The 13,301-nt window shown below is 39.4% G+C and overlaps 1 protein-coding gene across 5 annotated transcripts in view, besides 3 other annotated features; it reads left to right on the forward strand.

The window, feature by feature from the left end:
* The window catches only part of CPEB4 (cytoplasmic polyadenylation element binding protein 4), a 73,632-nt gene extending 66,858 nt beyond the window's left edge, over positions 1–6,774 (forward strand). For all 5 annotated transcript variants that reach the window (NM_030627.4, NM_001308189.2, NM_001308191.2 and 2 more), the window contains one exon: positions 704–6,774. In NM_030627.4, the coding sequence (NP_085130.2) occupies positions 704–931 (228 nt within the window). In that variant the 3' untranslated portion in view covers positions 932–6,774. The remainder of the gene's footprint in view (positions 1–703) is intronic.
* Positions 8,231–9,430: an enhancer, noted in NCBI's record as "CDK7 strongly-dependent group 2 enhancer chr5:173390440-173391639 (GRCh37/hg19 assembly coordinates)". NCBI's record gives its function as "activates an origin of replication core promoter dependent on BRD2, BRD4, P300/CBP, MED14 and CDK7 cofactors, with strong dependence on CDK7, by STARR-seq in HCT116 cells {active_cell/tissue: HCT116}" and the evidence as "EXISTENCE:reporter gene assay evidence [ECO:0000049][PMID:35650434]".
* Positions 8,325–9,207: an enhancer, noted in NCBI's record as "H3K27ac-H3K4me1 hESC enhancer chr5:173390534-173391416 (GRCh37/hg19 assembly coordinates)". NCBI's record gives its function as "activates a minimal SCP1, AML or CMV promoter by ChIP-STARR-seq in naive H9 embryonic stem cells {active_cell/tissue: H9 hESC(naive)}" and the evidence as "EXISTENCE:reporter gene assay evidence [ECO:0000049][PMID:30033119]".
* Positions 12,638–13,301: an enhancer, noted in NCBI's record as "H3K4me1 hESC enhancer chr5:173394847-173395510 (GRCh37/hg19 assembly coordinates)". NCBI's record gives its function as "activates a minimal SCP1, AML or CMV promoter by ChIP-STARR-seq in primed H9 embryonic stem cells {active_cell/tissue: H9 hESC(primed)}" and the evidence as "EXISTENCE:reporter gene assay evidence [ECO:0000049][PMID:30033119]".

Below are 13,301 nucleotides of genomic sequence, written 5' to 3' on the forward strand. Positions count from 1 at the left end.
ACAGGTTGGCCGATAGAACGCTGGAACAGGCCCAGTTTTAGAAATTCACCTCTGACTTTTAGACTCAGGTGAACCATTCTTACTGAGAAAGAACAAAGCAGGGTTTTAGACTGTGAATCCTATGGCTGCATCTTTTTTTTTTTTTTTAACAGAGTTCCAGGTTTGTGATTATAACCCAACATGTGTACACTATAAATAGAAACCACGAGCCAGGCTTTTTACGACAGCTCAGAATCTTGTGACGCAGTAGTCAGGCATCTTCACACCAACTTGAATATTGAAGTGCAGTTGTGTGGAACTTGGATCATCTTAGTTGATTTTGTTTAAATTATGATTCCACATATGACAAAAATCCAGATCCACTAATTAAAATGAGGGTTTATGTCTATGAATAATCTCCTGTGGGTTTAATCTCATAACATTCTAGTCTAAACAGTTGGCTTCACTTCATGATGTCTGCTCAAATCCTTTTTCCTTTAAAGGATGTTTATTTAATAAGAAAAAAATGTAAAATGATAGATAATAAAAGCCTTACTAGGTTCTTAAAAGATGAACTATCCATATTTCAGTAAATGAATAATTAGTCCTTCCTCTTTGGGCACCTTGGAACAGATTCATTCAGATAGTGGGTGGAAATGTACATGTATGGTAAGCATTGCTGGCCTAGTCACTGAAAAATGTAAACTCTTATTTTTGATTGCAGGTGGAAGTTAAGCCATATGTCTTGGATGATCAGCTGTGTGATGAATGTCAGGGGGCCCGTTGTGGGGGGAAATTTGCTCCATTTTTCTGTGCTAATGTTACCTGTCTGCAGTATTACTGTGAATATTGCTGGGCTGCTATCCATTCTCGTGCTGGCAGGGAATTCCACAAGCCCCTGGTGAAGGAAGGCGGTGACCGCCCTCGGCATATTTCATTCCGCTGGAACTAAAGGATAACTGCAGTGCTCATTTTCAGGCCTCAGAATAAGTGCACTCTTCTGTTCATTCTGACCCCTTCCTCAACCTCTTCACGCTGGCATGTCCTTTTGTAGCAGTCTGTAACTTAACTATAGTATAATGAAAAGAATGACCTATAATATAGGTGTTTTGTAGATTCTTGTGTCACTGCAAACAATATGAACTCCTTTTTCGTATTGCCATCGGGTTGCATGGAAGTTTTATTCTCTTGTTTTGCTGGAAACCAAGAGGATCCAAACTTCCTGCAACATTTTCTTAGAGGAGAGAGAGAAATATTAAAAGAGAAATGAAACAATAGAGTATTTTGGGTTTTTAATTAAATTATTGTTAATAATATAACATATAAGAATACTTTTATTAAAATAACCATGCAACAATAACACTATCGGTCTATCTGACAGTTTTTCCCCCAGGGAAGTGCTTTTGCCTTTTCCTTTCTTTTTTTTTTTTTTTTCATCTTTTTTGTCTCTCTCTTTTTTCCATCCCTTTTTAATTTTTTTAACAGCAATGGAGGAAGTTAACAATTTTTAATGGAAAGAGCATGTTAGAGCAAACAAATGCATAAGCAAGACTGAGCAGCATTATAATTAATTTTCAGGGTTTTGAGGCTGAACATAATTTCATTATCCCTCAAAAAGTTACCACCACATCAGAAAAAATAAAAAAAAAATAGTAAAGTAGGCAGAGCTAGGTTTATTTTCTCTTAAACAATTTTTAAAATTCAGAATGTAAAAATTGGGTAAATTTACTACTGAGGGGAGTGCACTTATTTATTTAACTTACTTATCTGGTCAAAGCCCCAGGAAACCTACCAAAGCTAGAATTAATGACAACTGGTGGGAAACCTAGCATTTCCTCTCCTGAAGAATAAATGTATAAATGTTATTTTTGATGTTTATATATAAACTCTATATCCTAATTTACTAATACTCATCAGATGTCAGCCTTTGCTCTCCATTTTGACGTTAAAAAACAACAACAGATCTAGAGATACCTCAAGGATATCATTTTTGATTTTGTGTTACAGTACACTTGTAGCCAAAACTGGAAGACAAAACCAATATATAATTTGGCTGCTGATTGGCTTACTTTTAGATTTAAAGTTACTTTGGGTATCCTGTAATTTAGTTGTAACATAGAAAATGAAAAAACAGTTAAAAAAAGTGAAGTAGTTGCAAAGTGTTTTGCACTGTTGAACTAAGTAACTGTGTAAATCTGTGCAAAGGTACGTATGTTTATCTTACTCTTCCTATAAACTAAAATAACATTACAGTTTCCGAATTTAGCATGGGACATAGTCAGTGTTTGAAGTGCCAACTTCATCAAGTAATGCATGCTTTATTATAAATAAAATTCTAGCTTTGAAAGGCGTTATGTGTTGAACAGTATGCTTCAGGGGTAAATTTAAAATAGTCTCTTGAAGCCCTAGTCATGGAAGTAACTTTTATTTTAATTGACATTCTCTTATTAAATGCCCTATCCATCATTAAAAGGTTTATTATCAGTGGGCAAAACATGAAATAATATGATCGAATGGCAATCTTGCTAGTTGCGCTACCTAACAGTACCATCTTGGATCCTTCAAAACCAAAGACTTGCCCCAGCACTGCTGTGGAACCACCTGGCTTATGACCCCTATGGATGATCTTTAGGAAAAGCAGCCCTTTACTTTTAATACAGGCTTTAATGAACTATACCTGTTAAGTTCCAAAGGTCAAAATGGAGGCATTTGCTGTCTAATATTCAAACATAGAAAGGGAGCTGCTTTTAAAGAATTCCCTGCAAATACTGAAAGCAGTCATGCGAATGGAGGGTGCTCTTGTGTAGCTGGTCAGGGACTTTTTTTTCTTTTCTCCTGAACTACATGATTCTAATTGGAATGTTCATTTGCCTCTTTTTACTCTTTTAAATGCTTGTAGGTGGCTTGGGGTGTGCTATCGTGCTGTTCCTACTCAGTAAACAGGTGTGATGAGTTAACAAGAAATAACACTGTTTGAGAACTAGCTTTGAATAATAATTTTTCCCTTTGTACATGACCTGCTGAATTTCGGTACAGTGTTTTTGTAGCTAACTTATTTTGTCATGCACATAATGTATATTTGTTATGCACTACTTTTGTATATCTTGTTTTTCCAACAGTGAACATTTTTAGGCACACTTTTCACTGACGGGATATCTCTTTATGCAATACCTCAATTTTTCATATTGCAAAGAGTAGCTTTTTGTACTTTTATTACTGAGAGATCTTCATATACTTCATTTTTTAATATAAATAATTTTAATAAATTTTATTTTCTTATATTCTGCTTTTTATACATTTCAGTGCTCTGCATACATTTTAAATTATGAATGTCGTGCACTGGCAATGCTATTTTAGAGTCTGCAGAGAAGAGAAAGCATGTTGCTTAAACATCCTTCCCCAGCACCAGCTATTGGTGTACCTATAATTTAAGAAATAGTCTATGTAAAGTCACAAATTAATGAAAAAAATTCGCATGAAAATGACAGATAACACTGTAGTTCCTAAAAAAAAAATTAAATGCATAAGCATAAGGTAGAAATTAAAATAACAAAATTGTCTACAGCTTCTTACTAAGTTTTTAAAATTATTCATAAAATGCAGACATTTTTGGTGAATGTTTAGCCATTTTTAATATTAATAAATTGATGTTAAGTGTTTGATTCAGAGATGTCTGCTCTTTTAAATTATATATAAGGAAAAAAAATAGCCTGCCTTGGGACAGGTGTGTAATGTTAGTGTGCATGACTAATGTAAGAAATTGTTATTCTACTAATATTTACTTGTGATTGTGTGACAAGTGTGTTTACAGATTATTGGTTACACTTCAATTTACAGGGCATAAACAATGATTATCTATTACTCTGAACTTTATGATTACATGTTCTTCAGATTACATGGGATTGTAGTTGGGAGTTACCATGTAACTCAAACATAATTAACATGTAATTAGTTTACAGATTGTAGGGCATCACTTCAATTCACCAAGCATGTAGTTCTAGCGCACTAGCATGGCGCCAGCCATGTACTTACAATGTAGTTACAGAGTAATTACATGGTGATTTTTGCAATGTAAAATAAAGTGTTTCTGATTATTTTCTATGTAAAGGAACCCTCTCCTTTCCCCTTCTGGTCCCTGCGCTTTGGTATAATATATATACTTCTCCATACACAGACCTCTGCAGAATGCAAAATAAAACTTGCAGTGAATGAATTTAGCATTTTATGAGAGTGCTGTTGGAAAGACTTGATAATTCACCCCTTTTGTTTTGAAGAGTTGAATCTTCTGTTAAAAGGTGATTTAAAACTTGAATGTGATGAATTGTGGCAAGTTAACTTCAAGTTATGTGCAATACTTATTTCAAACTTTTGAAAGATCTTTGCAGTGTAATTCTTTGTTTTTAATTGCAGACATTTAAAAATGTCATTTTCTACTGTTAAGAGTAATCCTCTTTCTTGCTGGTGTTTCTAAAGAAAAGAATCAGAAATCAATCTTTCTACTAATGTAAATTTGAGATTATTTTTAAAAATGGAATAAAAGAGGTTTTGGTCATTTGCTTTATTTTATTATTTTAAAGCTACTGTGATTGATAGCATTGTAAGAATCGGGACAATATTGTATTCAACTGTTTTATTTTTTATATTTTTAAAATTTAAAGTATAATTAGTTTTTATAATTTTCATCAGATTTTTGTTATATTTTTTGGAAGTGAAACTTTTAGCAAGTGGGTGTCTAGTTTTTACTAATCCCTAATTTTTTTTCCAGTGTATTGCTCATATTATCAGAAGGAAAAGTTATTTAAGTATGTCAGTTAATTGTACTACTTGGCTGAATTTCCATATAGTTTTTACTGTGTATGGGGAGGTTGTAGTATTTATTATAGCATTTTAAATAAGGGTAATTCATTTTTTATTAAAGTCATTTTCACGTTAAGTTCCTATTTTTGTATGTTCTACTCTTAAGTTATATAACACAGTTCCTTTTTTAAAAGAGTTCATTTGTTGAAGTGCTAGTGAAAAATTAATGTTATTAAATAGTTTGCAAATGACTATTTATACCAGTATGCATATAATTTTTAAATATTTGTAATGTGAGATGTTGAATGAATAAAACTTTTAACTCAGATTTCTTTTAATATACTTATTTCTTTTTAACACAAGTAGATGATGCTTTCTTGACTGGGAATGTAACATTTTAAAATATTAGGAATATACTGTTCAGCTAATGCAGCACAAACCAATAGGAAAAAATCTTCAGTCATATAAGTACTGTGGCCAGTGTGCATTCTTATGTAAGCCTATAAGCGTCGGTGGGTGGTTGTGTCTTTGGCCTGTACTGTTAGTTCACCTGCTGCCTGCCCTGCAGAGTTCTTTTTATTTGTAGCCTTCAATATGTATACAGGGAGTAAGCCCAGGATCTAAGCATTCAGTTATCAGTTGAAGGCCAAATGCCCAACAAAAGTGAAAAACCCAATGTTTAGTTAATAATGAAAGTCCGTATCTGGGAGGTTCAGTTTTGAGTCTTTGTCAATGAATAGTCTTGATTTGTGGCCACACTACCAAAGGGCTTGAAAACAAGTCTCTTTTGACTTCCAATTCCCAGTTCCTCCATAGACCTTAATGTCATAGGATACGGTGTGTGGGATTATAATCTCTATGGCATGTCAATTGAAAATATTATCTTTGATTTGATCCATTAATCATGTGGACTACCAAGTGCTGTAATGTGTTAGTATTTATATTTTAAACTGCATTCTCAAACTTTTAACATAAGGATTTATTATAACAAAATATAACACTGAGAATATCCTGTTTTGTCAGATTTAATATCTGTTCTTTCTTGAGTATAGTATTCTCAAGACTAGAAGAGGTTCTTGTCCTGAGAGAAATGGACTATGAGATCTTTTGCGTCTAAGTTGTCTTTCCCAACAGGCAGCTCTTCTAACTATAGAGATTACTGAGGGTAAGGGCAGGCTGGACAGCTTCCCCTTTCTCTCATCTGGCAATTCCCAAACCTTACGTTGAGCATTCAATGAAGGGCCTTGAGGAAACCCCAGGGATGGGACACTGGAGATGTGGGTGGCATTTGGTTATCAAGTCTATAATATTCCTAGGCATTCTGGGATGGTTTCACTATTTTAAGAAAAGAAAAAAAAGATAGCCCAAGCATATTTAGTTTATTTTAGGAAATGTTTATTTCAGGTAAGTGAGATATCAATGATATGTGATATAACAACTCTATCTTGAAATTACATAGGTGCATTGCTTTGGGTGTTTTAAATCACAGAATGGTGTGTCTGGAAAGGGTGTAAGAGGCTTCCTGGGCTATATTTCTTCATTCACTGATTGCCTAAACCTACCCAACGAGGAAAATTCTTTTTATTTTTATCTTTTGTTTTTACTGTCTAACCAGATGAATAAACAGTGGAAATTCTCTACCACACTCTTAACAATCAAGTCATTTCATAACCCCTTTTGGTAATGGGTGTTTGTGTCCACAGCTAGATCAGAAAGTAAGTACTTTTTCTAGGGATTTTTTTTTTTTTTTAAGTTTGGGAAATAGTTTGATCAAAAGTCATGGGGAAAGTAATCTCTGATTTTAAAAATTGAAGAATACTGAAGGTGTCAGTGAGTTAGAAATTTTTAAGGAGTAATTATTTTCTGAAATGTGTAATAACCGAATAATAAACAAGACAAAACTCTAATATTTCAGACTGTGATCTTCAGAGGACTAGGATAGTCCTTTCCACAAGAAAAAGACAAAAAAAAATAAAGTTTTACCATTAAATACACTTAGAAAATGGGTCACCTTGTTTCTTGCAAAGTCAAAATAATGCACATTTGCACATTAGCTTATTAAGACTTCAAGAAATTCTACAATGAAGAAATCTTTTTTATTTTATTTTATTTTATTTTATTTTATTTATTTATTTTTTTGAGATGGAGTTTTGCTCTTGTTGCCCAGGCTGGAGTGAGTGCAATGGTGTGCTCTCAGCTCACTGCAACCCCTGCCTCCCGTGTTCAAGCCATTCTCCTACCTCAGCCTCCAAAGTAGCTGGGATTACAGGCATGCACCACCATGCCCAACTAATTTTGTATTTTTAGTAGAGATGGGGTTTCTCCATGTTGGTCAGGCTGGTCTCGAACTCCTGACCTCAGGTGATCCGCCCGCCTTGGCCTCCCAAAGTGCTGGGATTACAGGCGTGAGCCACCGTGCCCAGCCAGAAACCTATTTACTTTGTTGAAAGTGTCCCTCTCACTCCAATTTCTCTGACTACAGATTCTGTTTACAGGTAACACATGGAACATACTTTGGGCTATACCACTGTAACATTTTAGTATGTTTCAAGAAGCTTTGAAACCCCACTTTGTTTTTTGGCATCCATACATGTGTTCTGGAAGGGTGCTTGGCCCTGCCACTTGTGAGCCACTTTCAGAGCTGCTTTCATTGCCCACACCTACTTTACTGGAGTTCTAGGTACTTACGTAGCTTCTAAGCCCTGTCCTAGTTCCAGTGCATCCTCCTAATTCGTCTTCCCTCTACTACCATCCCAGAAGAAAGAAAAAGAGAAGTTACTTTGCACAATAAAGCTATTTTGATTATGCTTTTCACTGTCTCAGACCAGCCCTTGTTTCTCATGAGTGCCTCAAATGCCACTTGAGACAAGCAGCTAGTGCTTTGAATCTGCCATTCTATGATATGCTGTCTCCCTTTCTCATCATTCCTATATCCTCCTTCAAAATTTTCTTTTGCAAACTTCCCTCAGCACCCCTCACCCGCTGATTCTCTTGAGAATAGGCGCCACTGGCTTTGAATAAATTCTAAGAATTTAGAAAATGAACATTTGCGCCCCACTAGGAACTCTTACCTAGCAATACCAATTCAGTCGTCCTCATTAGAGAACATTTTATTTTGCCGTGCCTTGAGTCTTCTCAGGATATTTTGGGTTATCATCTTTCTCTAGTCAAGCTGGGTGTCATTGTTGGCTGTCTGGAAAAAGTGTCTTATTGTGATTCAGCGTGGTGACCAGAGTTGGAAAAGTACACATTGTCTCAGGGAAGTTAAAAATGAACAGCAGCATCCCAAATCAGAATGTGAGCAAACCTCCAGCCTTTAGTATTGCGTGTAATTTGATTCAGTGTCAGGGAAAAACTGCCTGTGGGTAGCTGGGCTGGAGGTGGTGAATCAGTGCACGCAAATGCCAGCAGCTAAGCTTGAGCTTTCTTTATCCTTTTCATCGGAGTTCTATTTCAGGAAGCCCGGCTTTGATACCCTAAAAATGTCAATGTGATCAAGCAAATGTCACCATTTTAAAGAGATTATTTTCAACTCTTCTCCCACCTCCCTGTGAGACCTAGGAGTGACTCCCCAGAACCCACCAAAGGCAGCAGGGCATTTTAAACTCGTGAAATCAGTTACCCAGGAAGAGAACCGGGAGGGGTGGTGGTAAAATAATTATGTGAAGCTGCAAAGAATGTTTTAGCTAGGATCCAAGAAAGACCTGGCGCTTCCTTATTTGGAGGAATGAAGGTGATACAGGAGCTAAAAGGAAATTATTTAGGCGGTTAGCGAGGGTAAGAGAGTCCTCAGGCTTCCCTTTTAACAAAAAGCAGCCCCCAAATCATTTCTTTTCTAACAAAGAGCAGCCTGTAAAATCGAGCTGCAGACATAAATAAGCAAGCTGGAAGCCTGCATAGGTAAATGCCGGCAGCTGTGCCAACAGGAAAAGGCTAGCTGGGGGCCAGGCATGTTCAACATGGAGGCTCCCTCTTCCTTTTCTTTGTCGCTATGTGTGCAGTAGAAAGGCAGGCAACATGGCGTTGGCCAGGTAGAGACCCCCATCTGCATAATAAAAGATTAGGGTGGGATGGCCAGCTTCTTTGTGCGTGATGCAAGTGTCACGCCTGGTCCGACCAATCTCTCTGGCCCTACGTGAATCAGACACGCCTCCTCAAGCTCATCTATAAAATCCCATGCATTTCATTGTGGAGCCGGAAGTCCCACCCGGGAGCCCCTCTCTCTCCTAAGAGAGAGAGCTATTCTCTTTCTTTTGCTTATTGAACCTCCAGGGTTAAACTCACTTCTTGTATGTCCGCGTTGTTGATTTCCCTGGCACGAGACGACGAACCTCGGGTACTTACCCCAGACCACAACGCCGCTTCAAAGGCACAATTCCCCTTTCATGTTTGAGGGAAAAGTGCTGTGGGTCCTTGAGTGTTTGGTGACAGAAGGTTTGATTCCAACAGCGTGCTGGGTGGGGTAGGGTGGGTGAGGGTGGGGTGGGGTGAGGGTGACGGTGGGGTGGGGTGAGGGTGAGGGTGGGGTGAGGGTGAGGGTTGGGGTGGGGTGGGGTGAGGGTGGGGTGGGGTGAGGGTGGGGTGGGGTGAGGGTGAGGGTTGGGGTGGGGTGGGGTGGGGTGAGGGTGGGGTGAGGGTGGGGTGGGGTGAGGGTGGGAATGTGGAATAGTCACATCCATCAGATGACTCTCAGCACTGCTGACTTCAATGACGGAATGATTTGGTTCAGAAGAAACTAGTAAATGCTGATCCCCTGTTATATATCAGGCCCTTACATACATTAGCAAGGATAACACTTCCATGAGGTATTGAACAGATCATAGAACTGTCTCATGGAGAAGGTGGGTGATTTGGCCAAGGCTGGGATGTGCCTAGGTCCCAATTCTCATCTACTAATCTCAAATCTTCTCCTTTAAACCTTCTTGCCGCTGGATTAGCAATGAACAGGATCAGGGCTTTTTATTCAAGTTTTATTTTGTTTTTAAAAGAAAAGTTTCATTCCTAAACCTAATCTGGGTGTAACTGTCATATTTGAAACTATAGAGATAGGATGATAAAACAAAAGTTGTAAGATGGGTGGGCACGGTGGCTCACGCCTGTTATCCCAGCACTCCGGGAGACCTAGGCTGAGGATCAATTGAACCCAGGAGTTCAAGACCAGCCTGGGCAACATGGCAAAACCCCGTCTCAACAACAACAACAACAACAACAAAAACTTAGCTGGGCATGGTGGTGTGTGCCTGTCGTTCCAGCTGCTGCGGGGGAAGGGGGCTGCTGAGATGGAGGATCGCTTGAGCCCAGCAGGTGGAGGCTGCAGTGAGCCACGATCTCACTATGGCACTCCAGCCTGAGCAACAAAGTGAGACCATCTTGGGGGATAAAACAAAAACACCACAAAATAAAACCAAAAAAACTCAAAAGTTGTACAATGGCTGGGAACAATGGCTCATGCCTGTAATCCCAGCACTTTGGAAGGTGGGAGGATCACTTGAGGCCAGGAGTTCAAGACGAGTTTGGGCAGCATGGCAAGACCCTGCCTCTAATTTTAAAAATAAAAAATAAAAATAAACTTTGTAAGAGCAAATGTGAGTTTTGATTGTGAGTCCTAAAATGTGGCCACTTCCTCTCTTAAAAACTGACTCTCAGCTAAGACAGGTGCTCGAGGTCATGTAATTAGTTAGTAGGGAGGCAGATAAGGAGGCCAGAGGGAAGTCCTTGAGCTCTGTCAAGCTCAGGTGGCTCAGGCCCACCTCTGCAGTTCTTGTCTGCCTTACTGGCTTCCATTAAGCCCATGAGTATGGCTCAGAGGCCAGAACTGGGTATATATTTTAGGAGTAGGGACAAGGTAGTTGAAATGACATTTCTATTCACTTTAAGGAAGTACAGTACAGACTTCTTAGTACATATTCTTTCTCTTTGATCCAACCACCAAGAGAGACACATCAGTTTGGAGTAGGAAACAAAGAAAAAGGAGGGCCCTTTTCTCTAGTATTGTAAACCCAAGAATTCCAGAAACACAATTTTAGGAGTGAGAATAATAATAATAAGGCCGGGGGCGGTGGCTCATGCCTGTAATCCCAGCACTTTGAGAGGCCAAGGTGGGCAGATCACGAGATCAGGAGTTCGAGACCAGCCTGATCAACATGGTGAAACCCCATGTCTACTAAAAATGCAAAAATTAGCCAGGCATGGTGGCGCACGCCTGTAATCCCAGCTACTCAGGAGGCTGAGGCAGGAGAATCTCTTGAACCCAGGAGGTGGAGGTTACAGTGAGCTGAGATCGCACCACTGCACTCCAGCCTGGGTAACAGAGCAAGACTCCATCTCAAAATATTAATAATAACTACAACATTGGTGGAGTGCTTTCCAAGTGCTAGGCATTTGATATAGGGATCTCCTTTCTACCTCCCCACAAGCCTATGTCATAGATACTGTCATTATACAGTATCTCATTTTAAGGCGACCAAGGTTCAAAAACGTTAACTAATCTGCAAAGCCAGGATTCAAATCCAGGCACGCAGGTCCTGCCTGTTTCACCTCACCCCTTAGAAATGTCCAACCTAAAAGGGAAATTTGATTAAAATTTCATTTATTCCCCTGCGTTGGTTAAAAACTCACCAATGAATAGTGTGACAGCTAATCTGTGTTGTAGCTATGCCATCCCCAAATTCTCAAGGGACTAAGATGAGGCCCAACTAACCAAAATCACATGGGTTCCGAGGAAGGCTATCCAGCTTGCTAAATAATGAAGAGATAGATAGGTAAGTGGTTGGAGGGATAGATTTTATTTTATTTTATTTTATTTTTGAGACAGGGTCTCACTTTGTCACCCAGACTGGAGTGCAGTGGTACCATCATGGCTCACTGCAGCTTTGACCTCCTGGGCTTAAGTGATCCTCCCACCTTAGCTTCCTGAGTAGCTGGGACCACAGATGAGCATAACCACACTCAGCTAATTTTTTATTTCTGGTACAGACAGGTTCTCTATATGTGTATCTATATGTCTATGTGTATATATAGAGACATGTATATCTCTGTATATCTCAGATATATGTTTTTTAGATGCAAAGAAAAATCCCACCAAGAAGAAAGGGTTTTACTTTTTTCTATAGAACTATAATTGACCAACATGCTCTATATAGAAAATCAAGCCTCCTCTCATGCATCTGATCCTTTGATATCTGCACGGTCTATGTAATCTCACAAAAATAGTCCTGAAATCCAAAGGAATGGGGGAGAGACTTACGGATGTGTCCTCGTGAATTTTAAAACAGCACTTGAACGTTTTGCTTTTGGATTCAGATGTCAGAAGCATCAAAATAGATTTCTACAGAGAATTTATATTCCTGACTTTTTATATATATATGTGTGTGTATATATGTAAAGAGAGGCAGTGTCTGCCATTTTTAGAGCACTGGAGCTTTGAATTACACATGGCTTTGATCCTTGCCGCAGCCTAAACAGCTGTTCTTGAGCAGATGTGATGCTGTAGAGCCTGGAAGAATCAACTTAGAATCTCTGAACCTAGATTTGCAGCAAAACGCCCTTCTGAGGGAGACGTTAAGACCATGGTCAAATACAGTCATCAGCAACTTCCTTTTTCTTTGCCCCTTCCCAAAGTTCAACTCCTACAAAGACCAAACATGAAATTCTAAAGCTGGAGAGGATGCAACCTGGGAAATCAGATTTAGTCTCGTAAGTGTTGTACTTAAGTCAGGATCAGCAGCCCTCCATAAGGGGTGTCGGAGGGTGAGGAGGAGGAGTTTAAGGGGGAGAGTAGGGAGAATGAGGAGGTCAAGAAGAGAGAGGAGAAGAATTTAACTATTGCATGTAATTTTGTGTCCAGAAGGTAACAGCACCCTCTACACACACGGCCCATAACTAGGGATCTAAGGCCTTCCACACTCCTGATCACACCCTCATCGTTCTCCCCAGGGTGGGGCAATTTTGCATTAACACAGTTATCACCCATAATGGGGAAAAACTGGAATTTTTTTCTTGGCTTTCCTTATACACGTTTTGTAATATTCTTTCCTTTGAATTCTACATGGAGAGTGGAGCTCCATAATGGTTGGAAGCCGGGGTCTATCATCTGATGCTGGTAGCACGTAGCACTGTGTTTAGCACGGAGTAAGCACTCAGTAAGTGTTAACTCATTATCATCATCGTTGTTTGCTACTATTATCTATCCACTGACAAAGTGCCAGTCCCAGTGCTGAGTTGAGGGCAGAGGTGGGTGGCAGGGTCACTGCCCAGTGCAGGGGCTAGGAACCCCGGGATGCCCCTCTCCCACATTCCTTTCCTCCTGTGGATTCTCTGGCTCCCACCCCATCCAGCCTACAACAGTTGCCATGGTGACCGAGAAGGCTCTGCGACTCCAGGCCCTGCTGCTACCGCAGTGCCCAGCTCTTGCTGTCTCCCTCTTTCCATCTTAGGAACTGGAGGATTCCGCCCACGTCTGGGAGTCATGAGCGGCAGCAGAGGGGGTTGAATGTGTGCTACCAAACTGGACAGAAACTCCAGAG

The sequence above is a fragment of the Homo sapiens genome, chromosome 5 (genome assembly GCF_000001405.40).
Source record: "Homo sapiens chromosome 5, GRCh38.p14 Primary Assembly".
NCBI lineage: Eukaryota > Metazoa > Chordata > Mammalia > Primates > Hominidae > Homo > Homo sapiens.